General features: G+C 48.3%; 1 pseudogene, besides 4 other annotated features; it reads right to left on the reverse strand.

The window, feature by feature from the left end:
• Window positions 1,684–26,828, reverse strand: PIEZO1P2 (piezo type mechanosensitive ion channel component 1 pseudogene 2; annotated as a pseudogene).
• Window positions 6,120–6,619: an enhancer, noted in NCBI's record as "H3K4me1 hESC enhancer chr20:57320681-57321180 (GRCh37/hg19 assembly coordinates)". NCBI's record gives its function as "activates a minimal SCP1, AML or CMV promoter by ChIP-STARR-seq in primed H9 embryonic stem cells {active_cell/tissue: H9 hESC(primed)}" and the evidence as "EXISTENCE:reporter gene assay evidence [ECO:0000049][PMID:30033119]".
• Window positions 13,068–13,731: an enhancer, noted in NCBI's record as "H3K4me1 hESC enhancer chr20:57327629-57328292 (GRCh37/hg19 assembly coordinates)". NCBI's record gives its function as "activates a minimal SCP1, AML or CMV promoter by ChIP-STARR-seq in naive H9 embryonic stem cells {active_cell/tissue: H9 hESC(naive)}" and the evidence as "EXISTENCE:reporter gene assay evidence [ECO:0000049][PMID:30033119]".
• Window positions 13,732–14,397: an enhancer, noted in NCBI's record as "OCT4-NANOG-H3K4me1 hESC enhancer chr20:57328293-57328958 (GRCh37/hg19 assembly coordinates)". NCBI's record gives its function as "activates a minimal SCP1, AML or CMV promoter by ChIP-STARR-seq in naive and primed H9 embryonic stem cells {active_cell/tissue: H9 hESC(naive and primed)}" and the evidence as "EXISTENCE:reporter gene assay evidence [ECO:0000049][PMID:30033119]".
• Window positions 14,398–15,061: an enhancer, noted in NCBI's record as "OCT4-NANOG-H3K4me1 hESC enhancer chr20:57328959-57329622 (GRCh37/hg19 assembly coordinates)". NCBI's record gives its function as "activates a minimal SCP1, AML or CMV promoter by ChIP-STARR-seq in primed H9 embryonic stem cells {active_cell/tissue: H9 hESC(primed)}" and the evidence as "EXISTENCE:reporter gene assay evidence [ECO:0000049][PMID:30033119]".

The raw sequence follows: 26,860 nt of genomic DNA on the forward strand, positions 1-26,860 counted from the left end.
CAACAACAACAAACAGAAAAAGACTTGGATAGATATTTCAGAAAAGAAGATATACAAATGGATAAAAACATGTAAAGTTACTCGATATCATTAGTTATCAGGGAAATGCAAATTAAAAGCACAATGAGATACCATGTCATACCTATCAGAAAGTTTGAAATTCAAAAGATTGATGATACCTACTGTTGGTGAAAACGTGGAGCAACTGGAACTCTCAGACATTGCTGGTGAGAGTGCAAAATGGTGCAGCCACTTTGGAAACTTTCTAGATTTCTTTAAAAGTTAAACATACAACTACCCCATCACAAAACAATCCCACTCTTACATGTTTACTTAAAAGACAATGTATGTCCACAAAAACAGGCACAACCCAATATCTATTAATAGAAGAATGAAAAATTGTTGTATATATTTATATGATGATGTATTACTCAGCATTAAAACAAACTGACATATGCAATAATACGGATGAATCTCAAAACTGTCATGTTCTATAAATAAGTACATATTCTATGATGACATAGTTCAGATCAGAGAAGACTGATCTATGATTATGGAAATTAGGCTAGTCCAGTCTAGTGAGTGTGGACTGGAAGAACCATGAGGGAACTTTCCGGAGCAATGGCAATGATATCTATCTTGATTGGGGTAGTGATTACATGGTTATTTGTGTCACTCACAACTCATAAAATTGTACACTTATCTGTGAATTGACTGTATGTAAATTTCATCTCAATAAAAAGTTATGACATATTGTTATCACATTGTTGAAAACATATTGTTCAACCTTCAATTAACGTCATCACATCCTCATATGCCCCATTTAATGTTCCAAATTTGCTCCTCAAAAAAATCCACGACAAAATACGAAATAGATAATAAGGCAAAAAAGCTCAGAGGCTTGTCTGAGCTTTGAGTCCTCCTCTAGGACAATAGCTGGAGGAGCAAAGGCTTCAGGCTGGGGAGCAGGCACTGGCACCCCCACAGCACCACGGACAGGCACCTCCCTTCCTCCACTCTGGGGATCTTGTAACTATAAATGGCAATCTTGACAGGCATGTGCAGGGGCTAGTTGGTCATGTCACCTGCTGTCTTCAACAGGGACATAAAAACCAGGGGGAACCGCATGAGGAAGATCAAAGCAAATGTGATGACACCCCCAACTCCATGTTTCCCAGCCTCCTCTTCTGCTCAGGAGACTGGGGTGTTTCTGCTGAAGAGGGCAGGCAGGTCAGGGCCATGCCTTGGATCAGACAGACGTGGACTCAAGGGAGGGCAGGTTGGCAAATCACTCTTAAAAGTTGGAGGAGGGTGGTTGATTCAGAGAATGTCACGCTAGGGTCAGGGGGAGCTGGAGTCATGTCCCAATGCCACTACTAACCAGCTATGTGACCTTGGACACACAGCCGCTCTAAGCTTCAGTCTCCTCCTCCATAAAATGGGAATGAAAGGATGCCTGCTTTGCCAGGTGGTTTTGAGCACTCCCAAGTGATGGTGGGGAGAATTCAACATGGGCTCTGCCATTTTACTGAGGATTCACTACAAACTCCATGAGCCCTGGGAGCCAGGGTCAAGCTGCCAGGTAAGCACCTGGCACACTGGGCAAGACATGAGTCTCACTGCTGTAGGGACAGGACTGAGGCAAGGAAAATTGCCACCCCCACGCCACCCACCCGCACCCACCTTCTCAGACTCCCACCAGTGCTTCATGATGAAGACCTTTGCACACAGGTTCCCCAGATGGATCCAGTTAGAGAGGCTGAGAGCAGTGTCCATCCATACCCAGTCTATGACAGCTCTCGGCTCCAAGAGGAAAGGCTCAAGGCAGAACCTGGAGCACAGAGGACCACCAGGAGGTCACCAGGGGACACTGGTCCATCCAATCTGTCCATGCCATGTCATGTCTCCCCATCCTGTCACCCAACCCATCCATCACCTCATCCATCCCATCATGTTCCACTCCACCCCAATGCCTTCAAAACCCGATATACCCTATTTATCCCATCCCCATCCACCTCAGGCCCCAGCCACCACAGCGATCCCATCTGTTCACCACCCTTTCCACAAATAATCACATTCTCCAGCAGGCCATGTGCTAAGTATTCAGGATATGTGGGTGAAGAAGGAAGACAGAACATTGGAGTAGGATGACACTGATGACCTGCAGGGAGCCAGGTATGATCGTGGTAAGTGTTGCAAAGGAAGTCACCAGGCAGTGGCCGGGTACGTCAGCTTGGGGGTTTGGGGAAAGCCTTTATGCCAAGACCTGAAGGATGGCACAGAGGATGAGACAGAACCAGCTCTGCAGCAGAAGGGTGGAAGGAGCTGCTCTCAGGACTGCTGGCCCAGGCAGAGAAAGAGCAGGACACCGTCCAGGAACAGAGGGCCCCTCTTTTCTCTCTCTTGTTTCTGTCTCTTTCTGTCTCTCTCTCTCTCTCTTTCTGCCTCTGTCTCTCTCTATATATGTGTGTGTGTATATATATATATATATATATCTTTTTTCTCTCTCTGTATCTGTCTCTGTTTCTCTCTGTCTTTCTCTATGTCTGTCTCTTTCTGTGTATATGTATATATATGTATATATATATATTTTTTTCTCTGTTTCTGTTTCTCTGTCTCTGTCTCTATATGTGTGTATTTCTTTTTTCTCTCTGTGTATCTGTCTGTTTCTTTCTGTCTCTCTCTGCCTCTGTCTCTATGTATATACGCGTGTGTGTGTGTGTGTGTGTGTGTATATATATTCATATATATATATATATCTTTTTTCTCACTCTGTTTCTGTCTCTCTCTCTGTCTCTCTCTCTCTCTCTCTCTCTTCCTGTCCTTTGACTTGGTCTCCAAGGCCTGTTCCAATGTCTCCTGACTCCAGAAAACCCTCCAGACTTTCCCTCCCATCCCCAAGCAGAGCAGTCACCCATTTGGCACAGGCCTCAGGACCCAGAGACCCTGATGGACTCTGGCTTGGACTGTGGTCTGCTGTTAGTAGATGTATGTCCTGTCTCTTCAGTGGCATTCTCAGTCTCTTGAGGGGTCCAGATGCCTTTGACACTTCTGTGAGCCCTGAGACACAGAACAAGACATGCTCCTTGAAATCCAGAGCTGGAGGGAACCCTGGCTGTCCCCACGGTCACTGCATCCCATCTCCAGCCACTGAGCACAGACTGGAGCTGAGGGCATTGTGAGGCAGTCTGGTCTCTCTTTCCAGCCCCATCCTGGCTGGCAAATATCTCAGGTTCCCAGAGTCTTTAATGACTTCTCAAGGAGACGAGGAGCCCTGGACAGGGAGGAGGCAGCAGCTGCAGGGCCCCTGAGAAGCCCCTGTAGCCAGCTTAGCACAGGGCCTGTCCTTTGCACTGCAGCCCCAGCCTGATTTGTATCCAGCTTTCCCCTTAATTAGTAGGAGCTTTTCAGAGAAGCAATAAAACAACAACATAGCAACTTGGACGGGGCACAGAAGGCAAGAGCCATTTCGGTAATGGAGTCGGTGGAATTGCTATTCTAAAGAGAGAGAGTGACCACTCTCTGCTTTTAAGAAAGCTGAGGGCAATGCTATCCTGTCGTCTGCCTGGTTATTAAGGATAACTAATGGCTGCCCCTGCCCCCAACAACAGAAGGAAATTGCAGAAGGAAATTCCATGAATCCAGAGTCCTGGGCAGTGATTCCCAGGAAACCAAAGTGCTGAGCTCGACAGTCTGGGGGGAGCTGCATAGGCCCGGGGCTCGTTTGCTTACCGTGAAGGCCTAGTCAGTACCCAAAGAGGATGAGGGCAAAGTTGAACACGTCCACCAGGAACGTGAGGACTTAACCTCCAGCTGGCCTGCAGGTGGGTGAAGTTGTGGAAGAATTGGCAGATGGGGTGGTAGACCTGGAAGGTCCTGAAGGCAGAGGAGGATGCTGTGGGCCACCCCCAATTTGGACAATTCCTCACAACCAGCTGGAAGGTTCTAGGAGGATGCCATAGAGGACTCCGTGGTTTGACAGATGGGGAAGCTGAGGATGGCACATGTGTTTATTTTTCCCAAGCTTGTATTTGCGAAGAGCACTGAAGGCAAGTACTCTGGTGTTCAGGGACCGATCTTCAGGGGAATGCCGGGCTTCTTTCTCACAACACCTGAATTCCTCCTACCATGAGTGCTGTTGCACAGCACTAACCCAAACACAGACGCTGCAGGGTTAGTCCAGTGCAGCTGGGGAAGAACAGGTACCAGGTTTATGTCTCCACTGTGTGACATTAAGCAAGTTGCTCTGTTTCTAAGCCTCAGGTTTCTCACCACTGAATGGCAGTGGTGAGCCCTAGCCTGACTATGTCATGGGGGGGCATTGAGGGGAAACGTTGGAGTCAATGTGAAGCCACCTTGGGAATAAGAAAGTGCAATGGGCATGTGTGATTATCTCCACAGCTGGGCAAAGAGGATGGGCAGGTAGGGAGGTGGGTAGATTGGGTGAATAGGGAGTGGATGGGTGGGTGGATACATGGAGGAGGGTGGAGGGATGGGTGGGTGAATGGATGAGTGGATGGGTGAGTGGATGGATGGGTAGGTGGTTTGATGGGCAGGTAGGTAGGTGGATGGATAGATGAGTGGGTAAACAGATGGGTATGTGGGTGAATGGATGGACAAGTGGATGAATGGGTGGGTAGGTAGGTGGATGGAAAGGTAGGCCATGAATGGATGGGTAGATGGATGGGTGGGTAGATGCATGGATGGGTGGATGGATGAGTGGGTGGATGGGTGGGTGGATGGATGGGCGGGTAGGTGGATGTGTAGGTAGATGGTGGGTAGGTGGATGTGTAGGTAGATGGTAGGTAGGTGGATGGATGAGTAGGTGGTTTGATGGGTGGGTAGGTAGGTGCATGGATAAATGGGTGGGTAAATAGATGGGTAGATGTGTGGATGGATGAGTGGGTAGGTGGGTGAATGGATGGGTGGATGGGTGAGTGGATGGATGGGTGGATAGGTAGGTGGAATGGAAGGATGGGGTAGTGAATGTATGGGTATATGGATGGGTGGGTAGATGGATGGGTGGGTTGAAGGATGGGTGGGGGGATGGATGAGTGCACGGGTGAATGAGTAGATAAAGGGATGGATGGAAATAAGGAAGGAAGCATAGTTAGATCAAGAGATGATGACTGAACACAAGGAAAAAAGGAAAGATAAAAAATGGAAAGAGGGTTGGTTGGGTAGGTGCAAAGATTGTTAGTTAGGTGGATGAGTGATTGGACTGGCAGATAAAAGGAAAGACCAAAGTATGAATTGACAAATGCTTGGGCAAAAGCATGGATGAATAAATAATCTCCTGCAGTTCTACAGACAGACCAGGGAGAGGGCAAGGATGTGTGCTCTTAGAAGTGGCAGATCCAAGTCTAGGATCTGACTCCTGCATGAGTGTTCCTCCCAAGGCCCAGCTCTAGGCCCCACCATGTGTGGATCCAGGGGCACATAATCCCACATTAACCATGCGGCCCTCCTTATCCATGCCAGCTCTACCTGCAGCTAAGAGTTGGTCTGTGAGGAAGGGGGAAAGGCACCCACCTCACAGCCTTCCTCTCCCATTCCTTCTAATGAAGTCTCCTAATTACTTTTTAATGACCTGCTTCCTGGCTTTCTCCAGCTGTTTCTTCAGCATCCCTTGGCTGAGTTGCTTTTGGCTGAATGGGAATTTCCTGAGTAGGCTCCATCTCTTCTTGGATTCTGGGTCTTGGGGACCCCCTGGCAAGACACAATAATACAGGTCTCCTCCTTGACCTTTTCTCCCAGAAGCTATTTTAGTTGGGAGCACTCTGCCCATCTCCTCCACTGATTCCCATCCCCATGACCAGCCCCACGTGCTTTCCACCAGTGTCTGAGCTCAGGCTGGGGGTTTGCTCTGTCGTGTCCCCTGATCCCAAGGGGCCAGGTCTGGAGCCCCAGGCCAGACAGGAGAAAGCCTGGTGGGGTGGGGAGCAGCAGGGAGGTCTGGGGTGAGGAGGAAGTATGTAGTGGGCCTGGGAACAATGACCAGCAGACCTTCTCCCAGTCCCATCACTTGGGAACCCCAATGGCCCACACTTTGCCAGATTCTGCAGCTGGTTTGAGACTATGGGGGGCTCCTCCTCAGGGGCCTGGGGTCCAGACCAAGTAGGGTATAATCTACTCTGCAATACTCTTCAGCACACCCAGCGGTGGGCTGGCAGTTGCAAAGGCAGCTCCTAGGAGTAGGGGTTCTGCTCAGCCTGTCTCATGAGGTGGCCACAGCCTGGAGCCCCTTGGCTGCTTTTTATTGCTTTCTGCCCTTTTTCTTCCCCTTGCAATGAACAGGTCCCAAGCCCTAGAGAGGCAAGGCAGGCAGGGAGGAGGGGGCTGAGGAGTTTCCACCCACCACCATGGCCACACAGCCTCCCCAAACTCACACTCGGCCAGCAAACCAGATGGAGGATATGGGGACTGGAGAAGGTGCTGGAGTCTCTGCAGAGAGCAGGAGGGGAAGCACAGGAGAGAGGGTGGGTGTGGCTTCCTGAAGGCAGGGAGAAAGCAGGAGAGAGGCAAAGGAGTATAAAATAAATCCCTGGCAGGAAGATGAAAAAGAAAGGTTTCTAGGGAAGGACAGGCAAGGTGATGGGGACAGGTTTCTGCAGAGTGGGACAAGAGCAGGAGCATGAGAAGACAACTTGGGGGCTCCCTGAAGTTGTGGTGAGAGGCGAGGGAGCCGGCACACAGTGGGGCTCACTGCTGAGGAAGGACTGCAGCCATGGCTCAGAACTCCAGGGAGGTTAGCCAGGGAACAAGAAAGTCCGAAACCAAATGATTTAAATTTCACTGAAAAGAAAGCACGCTCAAACAGAAGGCAGGGCAAGTACCACTGGAGGCAGAACCAGGACGTCAAAATTCCATTGTCAGTCTCTGCTGTTGTGACATCCCTGGCCAAGGAAGAGGCTCTAGCAGCCACAGGGAGTCTCAGTTTCCACATCTGGAAAACGGAGGCAGTTACTATGGCCTTGGCCAATCCCCTCTCACTTTCATCAGAAATAAGAAATGAGCAAAGGATGCCTCCTAGGAAATGGAATGAGCTTTCACAACCCCCCTGCTCTGGGGCTGGCGTCCCTTCCTGGTAGAGCGGTGGGTGAACAGCACAAGTAACTGCAGGAGATCGCAGAGGACACAGCTGTCCTTCTTCTCCATTCCAATTATATTTGGCAGGGAAAGTGGCTTTTCCCCACTGATGCCAGTGTATCATTTTGTGGTCCAGGGAAAGAATCCAAACTGCAAAATTATTTGACCACGACAGTGGCCTCCAGAAAGGCAGGAGAAACAGAGAGGGAAAGCCGTTGCAAACGGTCTGATGAACACGCACACACATGCGCGCACACACCCATAAAGCAAGTGAATGCCTAGGAAGCGCTCAGTGTATGCTAACGTGCGTCACAAATGTAAGAGACTGTTCTGGTCATCATCAGAGGCTAGAGATTAAAAGGAAATAAAACACCAGAAACCACCGTGAATACATAAGCTGGCCCCATGTGACACTGCTGAAGGCTGGCCAGCCTTTTTAATTTCTTTGAGCTATTACTCCCTTTTTAATTTCTCCTGACATTTGTTGCCTGCTAAATCAATTTGATACATGGCAGGCAGGTGAAGATGGCTCTCCCAGCCTACCCCTTCTCATCGGCGAGTCGAGGAATAGTGGTTTTAAGAGATTGTCTTTTTATGCTGAAAATGCTCAAAAATGGCTTTGTTTCCTTTGGCAAGAGGAAAAGGTCACCCAAAGTCCCCATCCTTTGAACACTGATAGATTATCAGACATCAGGGAGAGCAGTTTTCTGAGCCAAGAAAGTGAATGACCGGATGCGTCATGTTAGACAGTTTCTTTAATGCTATTTTTGGGCGCCACCCCAGGACAGAGAACTGCTTCTGTTTCACCAGCTCTTATAGTACAAGTTCTTCTGTCAGATAAATAGCCTCACGACTCGTGGGGACCCCCTTGGGGGCTGGCTGTTGATGCTCCTGTGTGGAAGCTGGTTCACACAGGGAGATAACGGAGGAGTAGGCGCAGAAAGATGCCTCCGGTCCTGGGGAGTGGGCAGTATCCCCCACATCTGTCAAAAGTAATCCTGGCAGCCAGGATGGAACTGGCTGATGGGGAATCTCCCTGTGTGATGCAGAAGAGGGTTCAGGAGTGGGCTCTCATCTCCAATTCTGCCTTGGACCAATGCCCTTTTGGTTTCCTTGTCTGTAAAATTTAGGGGGTTGGTCTAGATGATCTTTAAGGCACTCTCCAATTTGACCTTCTCTAACTCTCTTTAAAAACCTATTTTTACTAGTCAATTGGAACTGAGAAGGAGAGCCAGCCCTCTAAGTACGAGTGCTACACATGGAGAAGCCACAAGGTCTATACCTTTGGAATCCCAGCATGACTTCATGACTCCAAATAACTCAATTGGCAGGGACAAGTTCAGACACTGGCGTGTGTGGTTTTCTCTAAAGCACCCCAAACGTGGCACGTCATGGAGAACCATGCTCTGCAGATGAAAGCTGGAGCTTCAAAGGCTTGAGGCAAGAACAGGCGAGTCTTACCCTGAGAAATAACTCGGACTCTGTAGGAGTTGGGAATGACCCTTAGGATGTCACCAGGCACCATGGGGAAGAGGGCCTGGGTAGATTAGGGATGTCTGCCATGAGCACCTGATGGAAGAAGCCACATGCAGGCCAAAGGGTATTTCCCTTTCCTGGTAGAGGAAATGTCAATGAACATGGAGGCAGGAGATGTGGGCCCTTGTCAATGACTCAGGCATGTCATTCCCGGCCCATGTTCCCTCCCTTTGCAGGGCCTGGCCTCTCTGGAGGCCCCTAGGGATTGAAGGATATGAAGGGGGATGGAAAGTTGTGTAGACCCTCCCAGATCAAGCCATCCAAATGTGAGATGGTATTAACAGAAGGTCAAATTAGAGGAATAGTTTAAGGGGCATCAAATTTTATTGGACTCAGCTCTATAAGCAGTCAGTCAAAACCAATCTGTTTCATTTATACTTGGGAGGATCTACTTGTACACAAAAAAATGTAACAAGGACTTTTAAAAGTGCATTTTTCCAGTGGATTAAAATTTTCTTTATAATGATGTTTACTGTTTTTTTTAGAAAAACCAAACCAAACAAACAAACAAAAAAACCCACAAATCTTTCTTTCTAGCTCGTACAGTCCTGGGATATCAGAGTTTAAAAGGAACCAGAATGGACTCTGGCCAGCTGCCTCTTCCCCTAGGAGTCTTCAGTGATTCTGAAGGAGGGGACACAGATCTAGGCGGCTTCCCTCCCTCCCTCCCCAACCACAGCTCTTGGGAGGGGAGGGGCAGTGACAGGAGAGGAACCATAGTTCATGCTGACAGGCTTATAAAAATGATGTGGTGGGAGAAAGAACCCAATGACTGGTACTTAACTCTTGCTCTAATTAATTTCGTAGACAGGCTGTCTTCAAGTTTGCAAATGTGGCATTGGAGTCAGAAAGAGCACCAGAGCTAGTGGTAAATTATGTCCAAGATGCAAAAAGAAAAAAAAAAGATAAAAACAGAAGCATGCATTCCCAAAGTCCACTGTATAAGTATTTGCTACGTGTGAGGCAGGTGGAAGTACTTGTTATCACTTCACCTGACTTGTGAAAGCTGACGCACTCTTGGGAGACAATGAGAACAGTAGGAGTTGCATTCTCTGGTTCCACCAAGTCAGGTGTTTTGATTCTAGCACCTGACATGTGGCAGTGTTGTTGTATAAAGTCACCTCAAAGGGTGTGGGTGGCTGGGATGGTGGTGGGTGGAGTGTCTCATCTGCTGCCATAATCCACTGGCAGGAGCTGGGTCCTGGAGGGGTCTCCCCTTGGTACCTACCTCCATGTAATAGATCGCTGCCATCCAAAATTGCTTTAAGAGCCTTGGGACTGAAAGCATTGCCCACAGGAAAGATAAGATGGCGAGAACATCAAGAGGATGGAAGCCAAGAGTGCGTGATTCAGAATGATCACCAAATAGCAGAGCATCTCAGACTTGGACACGGCCATCTGGAGCAAGGCGAAGGCCAGCTTCACCAGGCGTGGCAGGCTCCCATGAACCCTGTCCGGCTGCTCAGCTCCTCATCCCGGGACATGCTGGGGGACGAAGTGACCCTGCCGTGAGTCCCAGAAAGACAGGCCTACAGCCCCAGACAAGAAATACCAATAGGTAAAAATAATCCTAGATTTTTTTCAAACTCTACACAGGGAGCAATTTTTTACTTTCCTGGAGCACTCAGCCACAAGGTTTTCCATTTAACAGGCACGCCCTAGAGGCATTTTAAAAAAATATGTCATTTGAAAAAGAAAAAAAAAAAAGCTCAATTGCTCACAATTTCTCTATTGAGTAAAGTATTTTCAAACAAGTAATCAAATTCAAAGAACCATTTGCTTTGTATTGGAGAGTATATAGCATAACCCCATTTAGCTTAACTTGCTAATCCAAGTACAACTATTTGGGCGGCTGGATTGAATAAGAAAAACATGCTGGTGCCTAACCTGGGTTACAGATACTCCTTGCCTTTTAAGGCACAGATCACTAGCTGGCAACTTCTTGAAGGGCGCTTTTCTGCTGGAGCTGCTGGTCTTTTTGACTCTCCGAATAGGTGAGGTATAACAGGTGGGATGCGGTGGCTGTCAAGGGACCACTTGGACTTACCAGCCCACTGTCTGCAAGGGAAGCTACCCATCCAGGCATCCTTCCTGGGGCAGGGTCCTTCTCCTCTCCCTGCTTATGCCTTTGCCCCTCCTGGCTGGCCCACACCAACTGTGCATTACCATCTCTCTGACCTCCCTAGACCGTTAAGACATCATTTTTTAAAACCTTCAATGACCAACTGATTACATTTGCATCAAAGGGCGTTCTACATGTTTTTTAAAAGACCTCATGAATTTTGATTCCAGACTCTTCCCATCTGGAATTCACAATCACTTGGGATGGTCTGAGATTTATTCTTGCATGATCAATGAAGACTGCATTGATTTCACAAGTCTACCAGCAAACACCAAAAATCTGCTGCGTTCTAGACCTTGAACTAGACTGCAGAGACACAAAGAGGGTTCCCACACCCTCTTTCCTCACAGGGCTCACAGGTCAGGGAAGGCACAGAAGCCCCAGTGAAAGGCAGGACCCAGGGCACAGTACCTGGGGCAGAGTCACGTCTAAGGTGGCATGGAAGTTGAGAGGCTTCCTGGAGATGAGGCTGGGGTAGGTCTTGGAGGATGAGGGGAAACCATTCTGATATGGTTTGGCTGTGTGGCCACCCAAATCTCATCTAGAATTGTAACTCCCACAACTCCCACAGGTCATGGGAGGGACCCAGTGGGAGGTAATTGAATCATGGGGGCCGGTCTTTCTTGTGCTGTTCTCATGACAGTGAATAAGTCTCATGAGACCTGATGGTTTTTTAAAGAGGAGTTCCCCTACACAAGCTCACTCTCTTTGCCTGTCGCCATCCATGTAAGATGGGACTTGCTCCTCCTTGCTTTCCAACATGAGGCTTCCCCAGCCATGAGGAACAGTAAGTCCATTAAACCTCTTTCTTTTGTAAATTGCCCAGTCTTGGGTATGTCTTTATCAGCAGCATGAAAATGGACTAATTCACCCTCCCACTAGAGAAGCCTGGTGAATGGACATCCTCGGCACACTTTGTATCTTGTGCAATTCAAAGAGCATGGGGCTTGGGGAATGGAAAGCCCATCAGATCACAAAGGACCTCATTGGCTGGGCTGAGGTGTTCTCATCCTTCGTGACCTGATTTCATTCTTCCAGAGGTAGGACAGCTAAGAGTTAAGGGCAGGTATGGGAAGAATCGGGGCCAATTTAAAGAGCGAATTGGGTTGAGGAGAGGCTGGAGCCAGTGGAGAGTCACTGAGAGATCCGAGAAGCGACAACAATACTCTGACTCAGGGCCACAGTGGGCACAGGCCTGAAACCCAGAGACTTTCCCAAAATAGTCCCCAGCATGCAGCATCCCCTGGACATGGTGGGTAAGGGAAAAAAAAGAAAGTAACGACATCACCTGGGATTCCACACCAGGAACCACATGGCTGGTGAAGACTTTCTATGAGATTTGGAATAAGGCTGTTGATGGGCAAAGACCACAGAGCACAGAGGGAGCCGGTTCCAGGGGCGAGAGGAAGTCATGTGCCTGGGTCTTGCAGGGTGAGAGAGAGCTCCTGAGCAGGTGGAAATGCTGGCCTGATGCTTAGGACACATGCAGAGGAAGAACCAAGAGAAAGTGGCGTCCAGAATCCAGGGCACCGAGATCCAGGAAGGTGGTGGGAGCCTCGGCAAAGAGACCAAATAGAAGGAATTTGCAAGGAGATGGGCACGGGCTCACCCCTGGTAGGCAGAGTGGTCTCATTATCAGTCTGTGCTAGACCAAATAGGGAAAGGCTGGTGTGGAAATTAAGCATAAGGCTTCAGCTGCCCTTCGACCCTTTGAAGAAGTTTGGTGGTGAGGCATGGGGTAAGCGTGTGACTCGCTGAGGCCTGTGAAGACCCCAGCCTGCTGGGTCACAGGAAGGAATGGAAGAGCAGGGCTGGAAAACAGAATCAACACAGCAGCAGCACTCAGGGGAGCAGAGCAGGAATGAGGGAGGCCCCGGACCAGGGGAAGGGGACCCGGCCTCGAGGTGAGAATCCACTGCTCATGGGAGACAGGGGAAAGGGTCAAGATGGCAGGCCTGGGGAAGAGGATTCGGGAACATTCATGTTCCTCTGTAGCTTCTATTCCTGCTGGGATGGAAGAGCGGGTGGGGTCGGGGAGAGTGGGGAGGGGCTCAGGTTTGGATTGACAGCATGGGAACAGCAAAGGTGACGCCCAGGTCCCAGCAAAAGCGTATCTGAGTGGCACTGAGACCCTCCAGTCTGCAGGGGTGCCAGTGGACAGGCAGAGGTAGCTGCCATGGCTACTCACGACTGTGTCCACAGCAAGCGGACGTCCACACCCACAGGGATACCCAGGCCTGGGAATATGGCAGCGGGGTAATCTCAGCCCTCCATTTCCTCTTGTGTCCAAACGGGGATAATCTTACTACCCTCCTCACAGGGTTACTGAGGTGGTTAAGGAAGTTTATCCACACAAAGCCACTCAGGAGCATGTCTGGCAGATGGAAAGAGCTGGAAACAAGCCCTTGTTACCACTCTGATGGGAGCAGCCCCTCCTGCATCCGTCTCCTCAGCATACCATGGGCACCAGGCTGTCATCCCAAGGGTCCTGTCATCCTTGTTCCCACCCCGCGGTGACAAGGACAGGGCCTACCCATGCTCAAGAATGCAGCCACATTTGAATTTATGGATGGGCCCAGGACGAGGCCTCCTAGAATTTCTCGCCAGGTCTCCCTCCCGCCCTGGCACTCCTATTACATGTCTTCATGAGGCCTGCATCATTTACCCCTCCCAGGGGACTTTATTAGAGGGACACATTTACAAAGTCACAGTTCCCATTTGGTCACTTAAATTGCACAGGAAAAGGGGCCCTGTCAACTTCAACTGGGGCCGCCTCTGACTTCTCTAAAAGCCAGATTTCGCACAAGAGGAAATTACTTCTGTACCTGCCGTGGGCCGTTGTTATTCAACTCGGAGTATAATTTCATAGCATTAGCAAAAATGATTCCTTTTATAGCTCTATAAATGTCCTTGGCCCACAAAATGCAGTCTTGACCTTCAGAGAGACTGAGTTTTCAGGGGGTGCCCTTTTCACGTGGGGTTGTTCCGGGGCAGGGAGCCTTTTTGGGGCTGAGGACGGTGCGCTATCACCATTGAGGAGGGCAACCTGTCATCCACCTCCTTCTTGGGGGGTGTCCAGGCTGAAGTTGTGCGTGTTTCTGCGTGGATCTTTACAGCCATGGCTTCTCCTCTTTCCTCAGCCAGTTGGGTATCTTCTGGCCACTGCTCTCAGGACTTGGGTAACCCTCTGCTGCCCGGCTGCGGCTCCTATCCCTTTTCCCTGTTGGCTGGGGCTGCTCGTGCGGTCTCTTGCAATGGGGCATGGCGGTATCTCAGAATGCTCTGTCTAGTGGCCTTCCTTCCCTGGAGAGAAATGTCTGATCTTTATTATAGTAAGAAAAAGAAAAAGGAGGGAAGCAAAGAAGGACAAGGAGAGAAGGAAGGGAAAAATCAGCGGGGGTTCTACTTCCATTACAGGGAACTGACCACACGCAATTGTTTGCAATTTGCATCTCAAGTGGCCACCTAGGATCACCAAGGGGATCTCCTGCTGTCATCCCAAAGACCTCCCCGGGAACTCTGGACACAGGTGGCTGAGCACAGTGACTCTCTGCGGGCTTCACTGGGAACATGCCGGGTGTGTGGCCAGGAGGGAGGGTGGGAGCAGTCAAGGCCTTCAGCAGCCATTGCCAGGAGCTAATGCAAGACATAAATCATCTGTCAGCTTACAAAGTGACTTTCAAAGTTGTCGGAATGGAATAATTAAAAGAAATTGATATCGTAAGAGAAAGCCGTCCCTGCCATGGCCAAGCTTGCCTTACTGACAGCTCACCGCCACACACGTTGCTCCGCCCTCCGGGCCACCACAAACGGCTGCTGTCTCTGCTTGGTGCACCCCAGGCCTCGGTGACCTTCCTGAACACCCAGGAGAACCAGGCCATGGCAAGGAGCCTCTGGGCTGTGCCTTCTTTGGGGAAAGAGCAAGAACCCTCTGACGAGGTGACTTAATGGCTCATCAGCTTTCCACCGTCGGCGACAGAAAGCTGGCCACAGTGATCCGAGAGACAGCTGATGAAATGCCACCAACACCATCACTGTTTCTTTCTGTTAACTTGCCACACAGAGCCAAAACCAACAAAAATCCAACCAGCACACCAGATAAGTATTGAGGCGCTGCTATGGGGGCCCTGCTAGGAGGATTTCCCTGGACTCAACGGGTTCCTGTCCAAGGTAGGAACTGTGGATGAAGAAGATGGGTTCCAGGGGTGGAGTGGGGAGAAGAGACCCTTTTCGTCTCTGAGCCCCCTACCCAGCCTCCACCCCTCCTGTAGGGGGAGAGGTTGGTGGGGTAAGGTTTGCATTATAAATAGCTGATGTTTATTAAGCACTTATTATGCACTACGCCCACTGTGGTTTTATCTTGGAGCAATTCTCTCCGTTAGGTCCTTTCATTATCCTTCTTCGCCGATGGAGAACTGAGATCCAGAGAGTTTAACTAACTCACCCAAGATCACATCAGCTACTGGGGTGGAAGTAGGAGCTGATCCCAGACCAACTTGCTCAGGAAGAAAGGTCATTTGAAATCACGGACGGAGGGAATCCTGGAAGAGCTGCCCAGCAAACGGGGAGGAGGAATCTGGGGTTGTGGGGGAGGGGGGGGGGGTCTGAGGTGCTGTCACAGTTCACATCCTGGCTCCAGCACTTTCCTGCTGAGGGCCCTTGAGCAAGTTGTGTGACCTCCCGATCACTATCTTTAACTGGGAATCAGTGTTAAGGGGTGTCAGATTCATGCCTGGCTTGCCCAGTAAGCCCTGATGAACACTGGCCATGGACTGGTTCCTACAACCGGGTGTGAACACGCGCCTCTCAACCCCAGGGAGACAGCCCAGTCAGCGTTCTTTCTCATGAGCTTCCAAGTGTAGAAAGCATTTGTGGGCCAGGGGCCACTCTAGCCCCTAAACTCTACCTTCCCCCAGAAACGAAGATTCTATGTCACATCAAAAAGGGCTGAAGCCACAGGGTCCCATAGAGAGCCACGTCTCTCCTGCTTCACCTCGGAAACGTGGCAGAAAGTGTAAACGCCATTGGAAAGTCTGGCAGCGTCTTATTTAGAGCTTGGTTCTATTTTGTGTTTACATCTGTGAGCTGCCTCTACCCATTTGCATCCCTGCCCAAGCTTGCCGGAGTGTCTGCACTGACCTGGTCACATTTTTTTTTTTTCCCTGGTAGGTTTTCTCCTGTGTTGGATATGGTAGAGCCTCCGTACATACCAGGTTCATCTGAATTCTCAGCCTCAGCTGCGGTCACGCGCATCACCAGCTTCTCACCTCCCAAATCACACCAAAGAAGAATAAAATAGGCATCCATCGGAAATTCCCGTCTGCTTTCGACACACATTTTTGTAAATGTTCGTTACATCCTAGTAGGGGTGAGTGTGTGTCTAAGGCAGGCATGTTGATGGGGTTGGGGAAGTTATGGCCCACCTTAAACGTAATAACCTTGCGCAGTTCTTTGGGGGCTGCGAGTACACTACAGGCATGAATGTTCAGTCACCTGATCTTCATTCCAGACGCTAGGAAAAGCAGGCCGGTGTAAGGAAGAAAGCCTTTCAAATTTGTATTGGCTCCTATTTAGTATTTGTCAGGGTCCAGGGCTGCACTCCAGTGAACGCCTCACTTAGGAAAGATTGGACACTCGACAGACCACATATTTATCTCGCTCTCTGTCGGTCAGTGCGTTCCAAAGCCCAAGCCGTTATGGAAAACAGGCTCGGAAAAATGCATATTTCCCCCAACATCTCAGACTAACAAGCTGCCCCTTCAGCAAATATCCTATTGCCCCAGCCACGGGGATCACCTTCATGATGCCCCCTCCCCATCAGAGCGTATAAAAGAGTCCCTATGCTTCCCATAGGCCTCATGACCTCATCTCTCCTGCACAGTCCACTTGGTGTTAATGGGCCCAGTCAAAAGGCAGGACTGTTGGACGCCAGTGTTCCTTATTCGACCATCTGTCGATCAAAGTGACCACACAAACCCCGCTTTGCCGTCGCAGTACCTCCACAGCAACGCCACGGTTCTCCCTCTTCCTCTCACACGCTTCTCCCCATCCCACCTGGGTCCTGCCGCCTCCTCCCGAGAGCAAACGTGGAGCTATTTGTCCAAGCGTCATATGCGAGCCGCAGGAGACGCTCATAAATCCCTGCCCTGTTCTCTGGCAGTTTCAGACGTTGTCGGGCCCAGACCCTCCTTTTCTTTCTTAAAGGTCACAAAATCTAATTAGAACCATTGCTAACTGTATATTCTCGTTGTCGGTAAGCCTTAAATAATAAAAATCAGACCAAATGAGACTAAGCAAGGGAGATGGAAAATCGATGTCATATTTGTTCCAAGTAATTTCCCTTCAGAAGAGAAAAGGCTCTTAGGACTGGTTTGTGAATTTAAAAGATGTTTAAAGTTGCATCTAGGCATCGGAACATCAAAGTCAACCCCAAACAGAATTTCGCTGGATGATCTCTCCTTATTCCCGGAAAAGTCAGTGCTGTTTGGTAGAAGGGCCTAAGACGGGGTGACAGCCTTCCTCTTCCTGTCTGTTTTAAGCAGTTGTGGCTTTGCCAAAAATAAAAATAATTTCTTTGAAAAACCGATCCCTTAAGGAGCAAAGAGTAATAACATACGAGGTTCTTTTCCCTTACTTCACTATTTTTCTGCATACTTTCAACTAAAATGCACACTTAAGAAAAAAACCTAAATAATAAGAATGCAACCCGCACACACTCACACATGCATAGTGAGGACGAGGAATGAACTGCCCCTGGAAATGCTTATCTTTTTGCCTGAAATACCCCAAAAAGGTTGATTAACATCTCCAGATAAGCACTTCTGTTTCCACACCTTTGGGTTTTACATGTGTCCATGACAATGGGAGCGATTTATGCCAAGAAAATTGGTTGACCTGTGTTATGGTTAATACTGAGTGTCAACTTGATTGGATTGAAGGATATAAAGTATTGATCCTGGGTGTGTCTGTGAGGGTGTTGCCAAAGGAGATTAACATTTGAGTCAGAGGGCTGGGAAAGGCAGACCCAAACTTAATTGGGTGGGCACCATCTAATCAGGTGCCACCGAATAGAAAGCAGGCAGAAAAATGTGAAAAGGAGGGACTGGCCTAGGCTCCCAGCCTACATCTTTCTCCTGTGCTAGATGCTTCCTGCCCTCAAACATCAGACTCCGAGTTCTTCAGTTTTGAGATTTGGACTGGCTCTCCTTGCTCCTCAAGCTTGCAGACAGCCTATTGTGGGATCTTGTAATCATGTAAATTAATATTTAATAAACTCCCCTATATATATTATATATAATATATATACACACACATATACACTCATATAAATATATAAACTCGTATATATATATATAAACTCATATATATATCTCCTATCAGTTCTGTCCCTCCACAGGATCCTGACTAATAAAGATTTTGGTACTGGGAATGGGGAAGCTATTTCTTCTGGCAAAAAAGGTTCATCAGAGTTTACAAACTCAGTGTTCTCAGCTTCATCAGGGTCCTCCCACATGTCCCCATTCCAAGTTGCAGGGTTCTGTTCTTTTCCAATCAATGCCCTCACTTTAACAGTAGACACCTGGCGAGGCTGTGCATCCACTTTTCTTTGCGGGTCAGCCACTCGCATAGTAAGAGCTTGTGTCTGTTTTTCCACAATTTCAGCTCTTTCTCTATAGGAAATAAGACTCTCACTCAGGGCAATCTTCGCAGATTCAAGGCTCAGGATCCGCTGCTGAAGCTGGGAGACAGAATCCCTGAGTTCATCATTTTCTTTCATCACTTTGTCCACTGGACTTAAGAGCAACCAACCAGCTTGGTTCTCCACATATGGTCAAAGGTATTATGTATAGAGTCACTAAACTCCTTGACAATGAGGAGCGGTCAATCAGGGGTGTTAAATGCATTTATTTTGCATAATTCTCTAAACAGTTCATGCCAAGGACTGTCAGTGTTCTCCATACTATTAGAAGTAGAGTCCTTAGCATTTTTGGGTCTAATCATATTAAGCAGCCAACTCCAGAAACCTCAAAACCAATGAAAGAACTCTATCCTTAATATTCTGTTCCTCTAGAACCACTCCCAGAACCAAAATCTGTATTAGTCACGGTTCTCTAGAGGGAAAGAACTAGTAGGATATATATTTAAAGCGGGGAGAAGCTTTTGCTTCTAATGGTCTTTGTGGACTTGCACGCCAAGCATGAGCCACTGCTTGCTTCCTTGCTGCAGTCCCCACTGTGTAAGGTGGCAGACATTTTCTGAAGAATGGGCTGATCTTGGGGAACCCTGGAACTGAGAAGAGCCAGTGGGCCCAACTGGCTCCCATACTTGGACTTCTGAAGGGCTGTGCTCCTGGCAGCTGAGTAGCTGAGTAGAGGCCCCCCTTATGGCCCACTTACCAGAAGGATGTGTCACCCAAGGCTGACACCATTTTATCTCGTCTTCATTTTCTATCATGGTGAGATCATGTAGACAGAGACAAAACCTGAAATCTATCAGCCATCACCACCCTGGACCAGGTTGGGGTCATTCAAAAAAGAGGCTGGGCTAAAATTTACTCAGCTTCTGAAGAAACCAGAACCAGCTCCTTGAGTGTTTATGAACTCCCCCTGCCCTCATCCAACCTTACAAAATGGTTTGTTTGGGCAAATTAATTAGTGCAAATAAAATTTGAAAAGGAAATGCATAAACAACCTAAAATAATATGCTGATTTTGAGAGTGTTCAGGCTAATAAGCCCTTTTTTTTTTCTGTTTTGAGAAGATTCCCCACAGAGGCACCACTGAGCATTGCTTTGGAAGACCAGTTCTAATGGTTTTGTGAACTTGATAGTACTAAAATGGAATATCTTTTCTTAAAAGCACCATAATTCAGTCTTGTCACTAATTCAGACAGTGCGTCCCCCAATTAGGAAGGTTAAACTATGTATCACACCCTTCACATAAATTGCCAGGTAAAACAGAATCATCAGAGTGGTTGAGAGCCAAGTGATGACATGATTTTCTTCAACTTGTTCAACTAAGGAAAGAGAAAACCTAGTCCGCTTTAAAAGGAACAATTTTAGAAAGATATTTATTTTGAAAACAACAAAAACTGAAACATCCTTCTTCTTGAGCCACTTGGCCCTTTGGGGGAGTCATGCTTTCTGAAAATCTCAAAACTGAAGGGCAGAAATGTCATTTAAAATAAATAACCTAACCATTTCCCCCAAACCAGGGTCCAATCAAAAAGAACACTTCTTGACCAGGGGGATTTTATTTTGCTGCTGGGGGAAGGTCCTTCCTGCAACTTTGGATTGAATTCAGAATTTCAACTCAAAGCACGATTCCAAATCTAAGCTCTTTAAATGCGCCAGACAAAAAGGCACTTCCATTATACCACAGTTCTGAGGGGAGAAATTCATTTTCTTGTTGGCTCCCAGTGTAGCAGAGGGATCAGTTTAGTGTCCCTGTTTCAAGACCACTGGGAGCAGGTCACCTCCATGATCCCATGGTAACAGCATCTCACCTTTTATGAAGGCCCTTCTCTCAGCTTCCTTTCTGGGCAGGTAGCTCGTGCTAACGGCCAAATCGTCAGAACTCCTGCAGGCTCTCTGCAAAGCAGCAATTTTCTTTTGCTTTGCTTTGATTTTCTCCATCCTGGCAATTGAAGACAAACAGAGAAAGCCATTTTCTTCTCCACCAGTCAAAACGCCTTTGCCATTTTGTTGGTTTCAGTGCTTGCCTTTTTCCCTAAAACCGAGGCTGAGGAAGAGATGCCCAAAGTTATGCTCCCAAGTTTCCCTTAGTTCAGAGGGGCCTCATCAACACTCAGTCCCCAACAGCTAACAGCTCACGTAGCAACATGGACAGGATTCTGCTCTAGGTGCCGCAGAGGACTCAATGGTGACAGCCATGGGGGACAGCTGACCCCTCTCTGGCTGAGAAGATGGGACAGGAGTTACTATACAGATGGAGTTTGCCAATGTCAGGTGACCACAGTGCAGATGAGGGTCTGGGGCTGGGGAGGTCTTGGCAGGCTCAGACAGTTTGGGAATTCAGACTTGAGCAGGCAACCAAATAGCACTTCATCAATTTCAGTCATTATGCATGCCATAATTTCTCCAGTATTATTTGATTTCCATAGTTGATTTTCAGTCAATTCAATTTTAAACTTAGTTTCATTCTGAGCTATAATATCCTTGAAATCACCTACTGGATAGTCTAGATACTTCCCGCTAAATTGCGCTTTTTATTTATTTTTTATTTATTTATTTTTTGGGGGGACAGAGCCTCACTCTGTTGCCCAGGCTGGAGTGCAGTGGTGCGATCTCAGCTCACTGCAACCTCCACCTCCCAAGTTCAAGCAATTCTCCTGCCTCAGCCTCCTGAGTAGCTAGAATTGCAGGTGCGTGCCACCAAGCCCAGCTAATTTTTGTATTTTTAGTAGAGACGGGGTTTCACCATGTTAGTCAGGCTGGTCCCGAACTCCTGACTTTGTGATCCGCCCACCTCGGCCTCCCAAAGTGCTGGGATTCCAGGCGTGAGCCACCGCGCCAGGCCTGAATTGCGTTTTTTAGTGTAACCATTAAGCGAAAACTACGTTTCTCTGTATACCCACTAAAGCCTTCCTGGGAAGCATCTGGGATGTGTGCCTCATAGCACATTGAGAGACAGAGCATGGTCTTGACTAAGTAGGGTTTTGGGTAGCCCATTTTAGCAAGGGACAGACTCAGACCCAGGAAGGCATGTGGCCTAAAGCAGAGCATCTGAGCTGTCAAGAGCTTAAGCATCACTTCCTCATCTAAGAATTACATCAGGAGATGGTTCCTCCCAGGAGAAGCCCATGTTCTCATCACACTCAAGAGCTCTGCCTTTGTTCTCCGAGCTAGAAGAATCAGCCCACAATTTCGCCACCTCCATCCGCTGATTGACCCACATTTAGAGCTCATTAGTGCTCCACACTCCCAACCCTGGAACATCCTCAGTCTTATTGTAGACTCCTCCTCTTGGTGAAACTCAAAAATAAGAGAAAGGGGGAACCCTATATCAAAGAAAGAAACAGGCAAGAAGAAGGTGGCAGATCCTTTGGAAGGAATATGCTTCCAGGATAAAAACAAAGAAAAGCCAGCTTGACTGTTTCATGACAATCAGTGGGGATTTTTCTTATCTTCATAGTGCTCCAATGCCTGACTTAGGGTCTCTGCTTCAATAGCTTAGCACTCCTGTTTGTACAATAAAATACGTTTTGAAAAGTCATCTTAGCCTAGGTAACATTTTTGTGTGAATTCTGCTAGTAAAAAGTCACTACCAATTTTTGCACTAAGATGAATTGTATCGATCATTTCACATAACAAGACAGGTCTAGCTGGCTGCTCACAGATATCCATCCTTTTCTTCTTTTCTCCCCAAAGAGCATGAACCTCCAGAGCATAATGACCAGGTTTTGCTCAACAGATGGAGGACAGAACACTCAACAGACTCCGCAAGTTTACAACCAGCCTGAAAACTGGACGTGCTTAGGCAGGATCTTAGGGTGAGAAGCTGTTGAGTTTGAGGGCACACAATTTGATCAGTGGCATATCTGAATTCAGGAATATGGTCTGAATTGCTGAAATGGATGGCATAATTCCATTGAAATTGAACTTGTCCCTTCCCTTTGGTGCAGGGTTAAAATGCAACATGAGGTCCAACTCTAGGGAGCAGATACCATCAATTAAAGAGAACTGCCCAGGGCTGTTGGATGATCAGTTTAGTATCAGATGAGGAATTTGTCACCAGAAGGGGCTATCAGGCAAGCCAGTCTTGCAGACATTCAAATGAGGAGAGAAGCCTGAGCTGGGATGGGGGTGGAGATTGCATAGAGAGGTGATCCCTTGGATCTCGGGCAGGGTTGGTTGACCTGCAGATTCTGAGGAACTTGGCCAGGTTCACCCTTGACTCTGAGCTGCCCTTGGTTCCTCACTGCCATTGGGTCAATGCCACTTCCCCACAGGTCTTTGCCTGCACCCTTCCACTGTGTTTACAACTCAGTGTGGCCCCAGGTCTCACGGTCCTACACAATTAGAGTCCCACAAAGGGGCAACCAGAACTGAGTCCCAAACTCAGGACAAAGCTGTGTGTGGTGGAAGGGCTCTGTGAGGAGGGATGGCAGTCAGCCCTCTTCTGCCCCGAGCCAGCAGAGCAGCCCCAGGCGGGTGACTCGTTTTGAGCCTCAGCTCTTCCTCTGTCCAGAGGAGGGATGGGATCAGGTGGTCTGAGGTTTCTGAGCTTTCTAAGTTGTCATTGCAGTCCAGCATCATTCCCTTGAAATTGAATCTGTCCCTTCCCTTTGGTGCAGGGTTAAAATGCAGCATGAGGTCCAACTCTAGGGAGTTGCTTCCATCAATTAAAGAGAACAGCCCAGGGCTGTTGGATGATCAGTTTAGTATCAGATGAGGAATTAGTCACTAGAAGGGGCTGTCAGGCAAGCCGGTCATGCAGTCATTCAAATGAGGAGAGAAGCCTGTCCCACCCTGTCAATCAGCCGCCTGTTTATGCCTGTTCCCTTTGGGACAGGACACTCTTGGAGCCCCTGAAATCTGAGGTCTTTGTCCCTAGGTCTCCTGGTGCCTGTACGCTGAGGCTTTGGTGGCCTCCGGATTGGCGACCACATACAGGTGGGAATAACTCAGGAAGCTCTGTCGCTGGACTTGCAGAACAGTGAAACACTTAGCCTCCCAAAGGACTCCCTCTTCCTTCTCTTCGGGTTCATGGATTTTGTCCTCAGGGATAGCTGCATGGAAGACAGGAGAAGCCAAGAACCCCAGGCCAGAGCCTAGCATGGGTCGCGTCTCTGGATGGAAGGGGTCAGTTCCAGTTTGGACAGACCCTGCTTCACTTCCTTTTGGACTGTTCTGTCCTTTGCTCATCTTCCCTCTCCCCTTTCCGCCCAAATGGCTGATTTTCTAGGGAAACAAGCAGATAAGGTCAGAGCTGGGGAAATGTACCCAGTCCTCCCTGCTCCCCCATCAGCACCGGCCCCTCCCTGGAGCCTGAGCCCACCCCCGTACCAGGTTCCCTGAGGTGAGTCCTGCTGAAAGCCACTGCGTGGCCTTCCCTTTGGGGTAAACAGGCGGCTGATTGACAGGGTGGGACAGGTAACTTGTGGCACTGTAGATTCTTCCATTTCAGCAGCTCAATGTGGTGCATGGAAACCTACTCCCCGTGGCCCAGCGCTAAGCCCCAGACTTGTCTGTGAAAGATGAGAGCTGTGTCTTCACATATTTTCTTGACAAACTAAAAGAAAGAGAATGAGAGCCTAACCCAAGATGTCACTCAGAGACAAGAGTGAAAATAAATACATTTCCCCTTTTCCTTCATTCATAAAAGGAAGCCAGTTACAGCTCTAGTCGGGCAGAACTCAGGGCTCCTCCCTCTCTAAACAGGCCAGAATCCCGGTCATTAGTGGTGGGGTTGAAGTTTAGCAAACTCCACAGAAGCACCCGTGGCACACAGTGGGATTATCCCCAAAGCCTAGAAGCCGCTGACTGCAGGGCGCCACTGCCCTTGACCTGACATGTGGTGTTGAGGCAGAGCCTTGGATGTTCCATCCCCTCTTTTCCTCTCGGTTTGGTCCCTGAGTTTCCCCTGGAGGGAATGGACGTCCTCCAGGGTTTGGTCCCTGAGTTTTCCCCGGAGAGAATGGACATCCTCCAGGTCCCACCAGGGCTTTTCTCAGTGGCTCTTCAGAGGACAGTCTGGCAAAACAGTCAAATGCAGCACGTGAGCTTTGATTGGACTCTGATTCTAAAAATAGTAAGAGCTGCAATCAACCATTTGGAGCAACTGGAGGCACTGGAACGCAGACCGGGTATTAGAAGATATCAGGGAATTAGAGTCATCTTCTTAGGGTGGACTGATAATGTGGTGGGTATATAGGAGAATGGCTTGATGTCTGCCTCTTTGTTTTCAGAGATATCTCAAAAATACTCATGCACACAGACGCACGTGCACACACACAAATATAGATAAAGCAAAGGTGGCTAAATAAACAGCTGTTAATCTAGGGGTGGGTATGCGGGTGATCACTGTACTATGCTTTCAACTTTGCTCCATGCCAACTGTCCCTGGGGTCATGCCTGCACTGTGCTGGCAAACATTCTGGGTGCTTACCCAGAACTGATCCCCTTCACTGTGCAGTTTAAGCCCAAACTGTAAACAAGCCAGCAGTGGGAGACAAGTAAAACCTCTAGGTACTCACGCATAGTGACTGGCCACAGAGGAGAAGTGTGGGGAGGACTCACCATTGCCTTCATCTGCAGTGCCCCCACAGTTTGCCCTCCACAACTGGTGTCATCTTTTTTTTTTTTTTTTTAAATGGAGTCTCGCTCTTATTGCCCAGGCTGGAGTGCAACAGCACAATCTCGGCTCACTGCAACCTCCGCCTCCCGGGTTCAAGGGTACCTCCTGCCTCAGCCTCCCAAGTAGGTGGGATTACAGGTGCACACCACCATGCCCAGCTAATTTTTGTATTTTTAGTAGATACGGGGTTTCACCATGTTGATCAGGCTGGTCGTGAACTCCTGACCTCAGATGATCTGCCCGCCTCTGCCTCCCAAAGTGCTGGGACTACAGGCGTGAGACACTGCGCCCAACCAGTGTCATCTTTCATTTGTCTCTTTAGTTGTCTCCTCAAGGGTACTAGTCACTCAGTAGAGTACCATTTGGTTGGGCAGCCAAAGAGATCCAATTATACTCTTCCCCAGGAACCTAAAGTGGATTTAACCAGGAAGCCATAGAAGAATCTTCTATGTTGCTAAGGACTGAGCACAGGAAATTGAGCAGCCACACACAACCATGGGGCCAAGACCAAGCCCTTGCCTTTCTCTCATCCTCCATGCTGTCATCTGCAAAGTCACTACATCATCTCTGAAGCCTCCTTCCCTCTCATGGTCTGTGTTTTTCGTCAAGAAAGACTTACTGGCCATTAGGAGGATGAAGTCCTAAGATGTATTACACTAGAGGACACTGTGGTAGCTCCACCCAGGGAGATGAGATATGATGAATTGGTAACACGAATGTCACCATTACAATAAAAGCTAGTTTATCCGACAGGCAATCACTCGGAAGCCAATGAGGACCAAGATTCTGAATAATGATCTGCGGCTTTGAGTTGTCCAAAAAATGACTGCATTATGCTGAGTGGAGTTTAACGAACAGCCAAGTTGGAAGTTCATGCATGGGGCACAGCAGATTAAACAGTAAAAACAAGCACTGGGGGTCTGGAGATGGGTCAGTGGCTTGCAGGCCAGCTGACAGCACTGGGCTGGTCTCTTATTTCTCTGTCTTCATCTACCATGTGAAATTTTGAGTTTTACCAACCCAAGATGGCAGTAGGGAGTCGGGGAGAAGGAAGAACCAAATAATCTCTTGAGGCCCCTTCCAGGTTTCAGACTCATGAGTTCTCCATTCTTCAAACTGTTAGATTAATCAACTTTTCTCTGCATTATTTTAATATGACTGCTCTTTGAAATATATGGTACATTCTGTTACCACGAATGAACACCAGATTCATCAGGGGATCGTCTCTAGGTTACTAGTGAGTTTATAAAACATTCTTTCTATTGGGGTTCCTCTTTTTTTTACCTCTTGATTTCCTTTAAATGTAGAGCTCTTCAACATCAAAAGCTGCTCCAAAAAGCCCAGGCTGCATCATGCATGACATATGGGGGATCATTTTACATTTTCCACCTTTGGTAAACATGGCTTTGAAAAAGGCCTTTTAAGATGACTGTTGGTTTTGGCAGTGCCTTTTCTTGGGGTATTAAGACAGTCAGGCTAGGAAAACAAAGAGCAGTCTTGAAAGAAAGCCTCCCATACCGAAAGGAGAGTCTTCACAGCAACCACCAGCACCGAGCAGGCAATCAGGCAGTCCAGTGGCTGGAGAATGAACTTCACGGGCTTCAAGAGGAGGTGGCCTCCATGCAGCATGAGGTATCCAAAGGCCACCAGGTACCCAGCCCCTGAGGTGTTGATCCATGTCATTCCCACAAGAAAAAACAGCCAGAGCACACATCCAAAATGATACCAAAAAACAACAACTTTCACCATGTCCAAGTAGGATCTGAAAGGTTGAAGAGCGAGGAAAAAGTAAAGAT

Source organism: Homo sapiens, chromosome 20, assembly GCF_000001405.40.
Source record: "Homo sapiens chromosome 20, GRCh38.p14 Primary Assembly".
In the NCBI taxonomy this organism is placed as follows: Eukaryota; Metazoa; Chordata; class Mammalia; order Primates; family Hominidae; genus Homo; species Homo sapiens.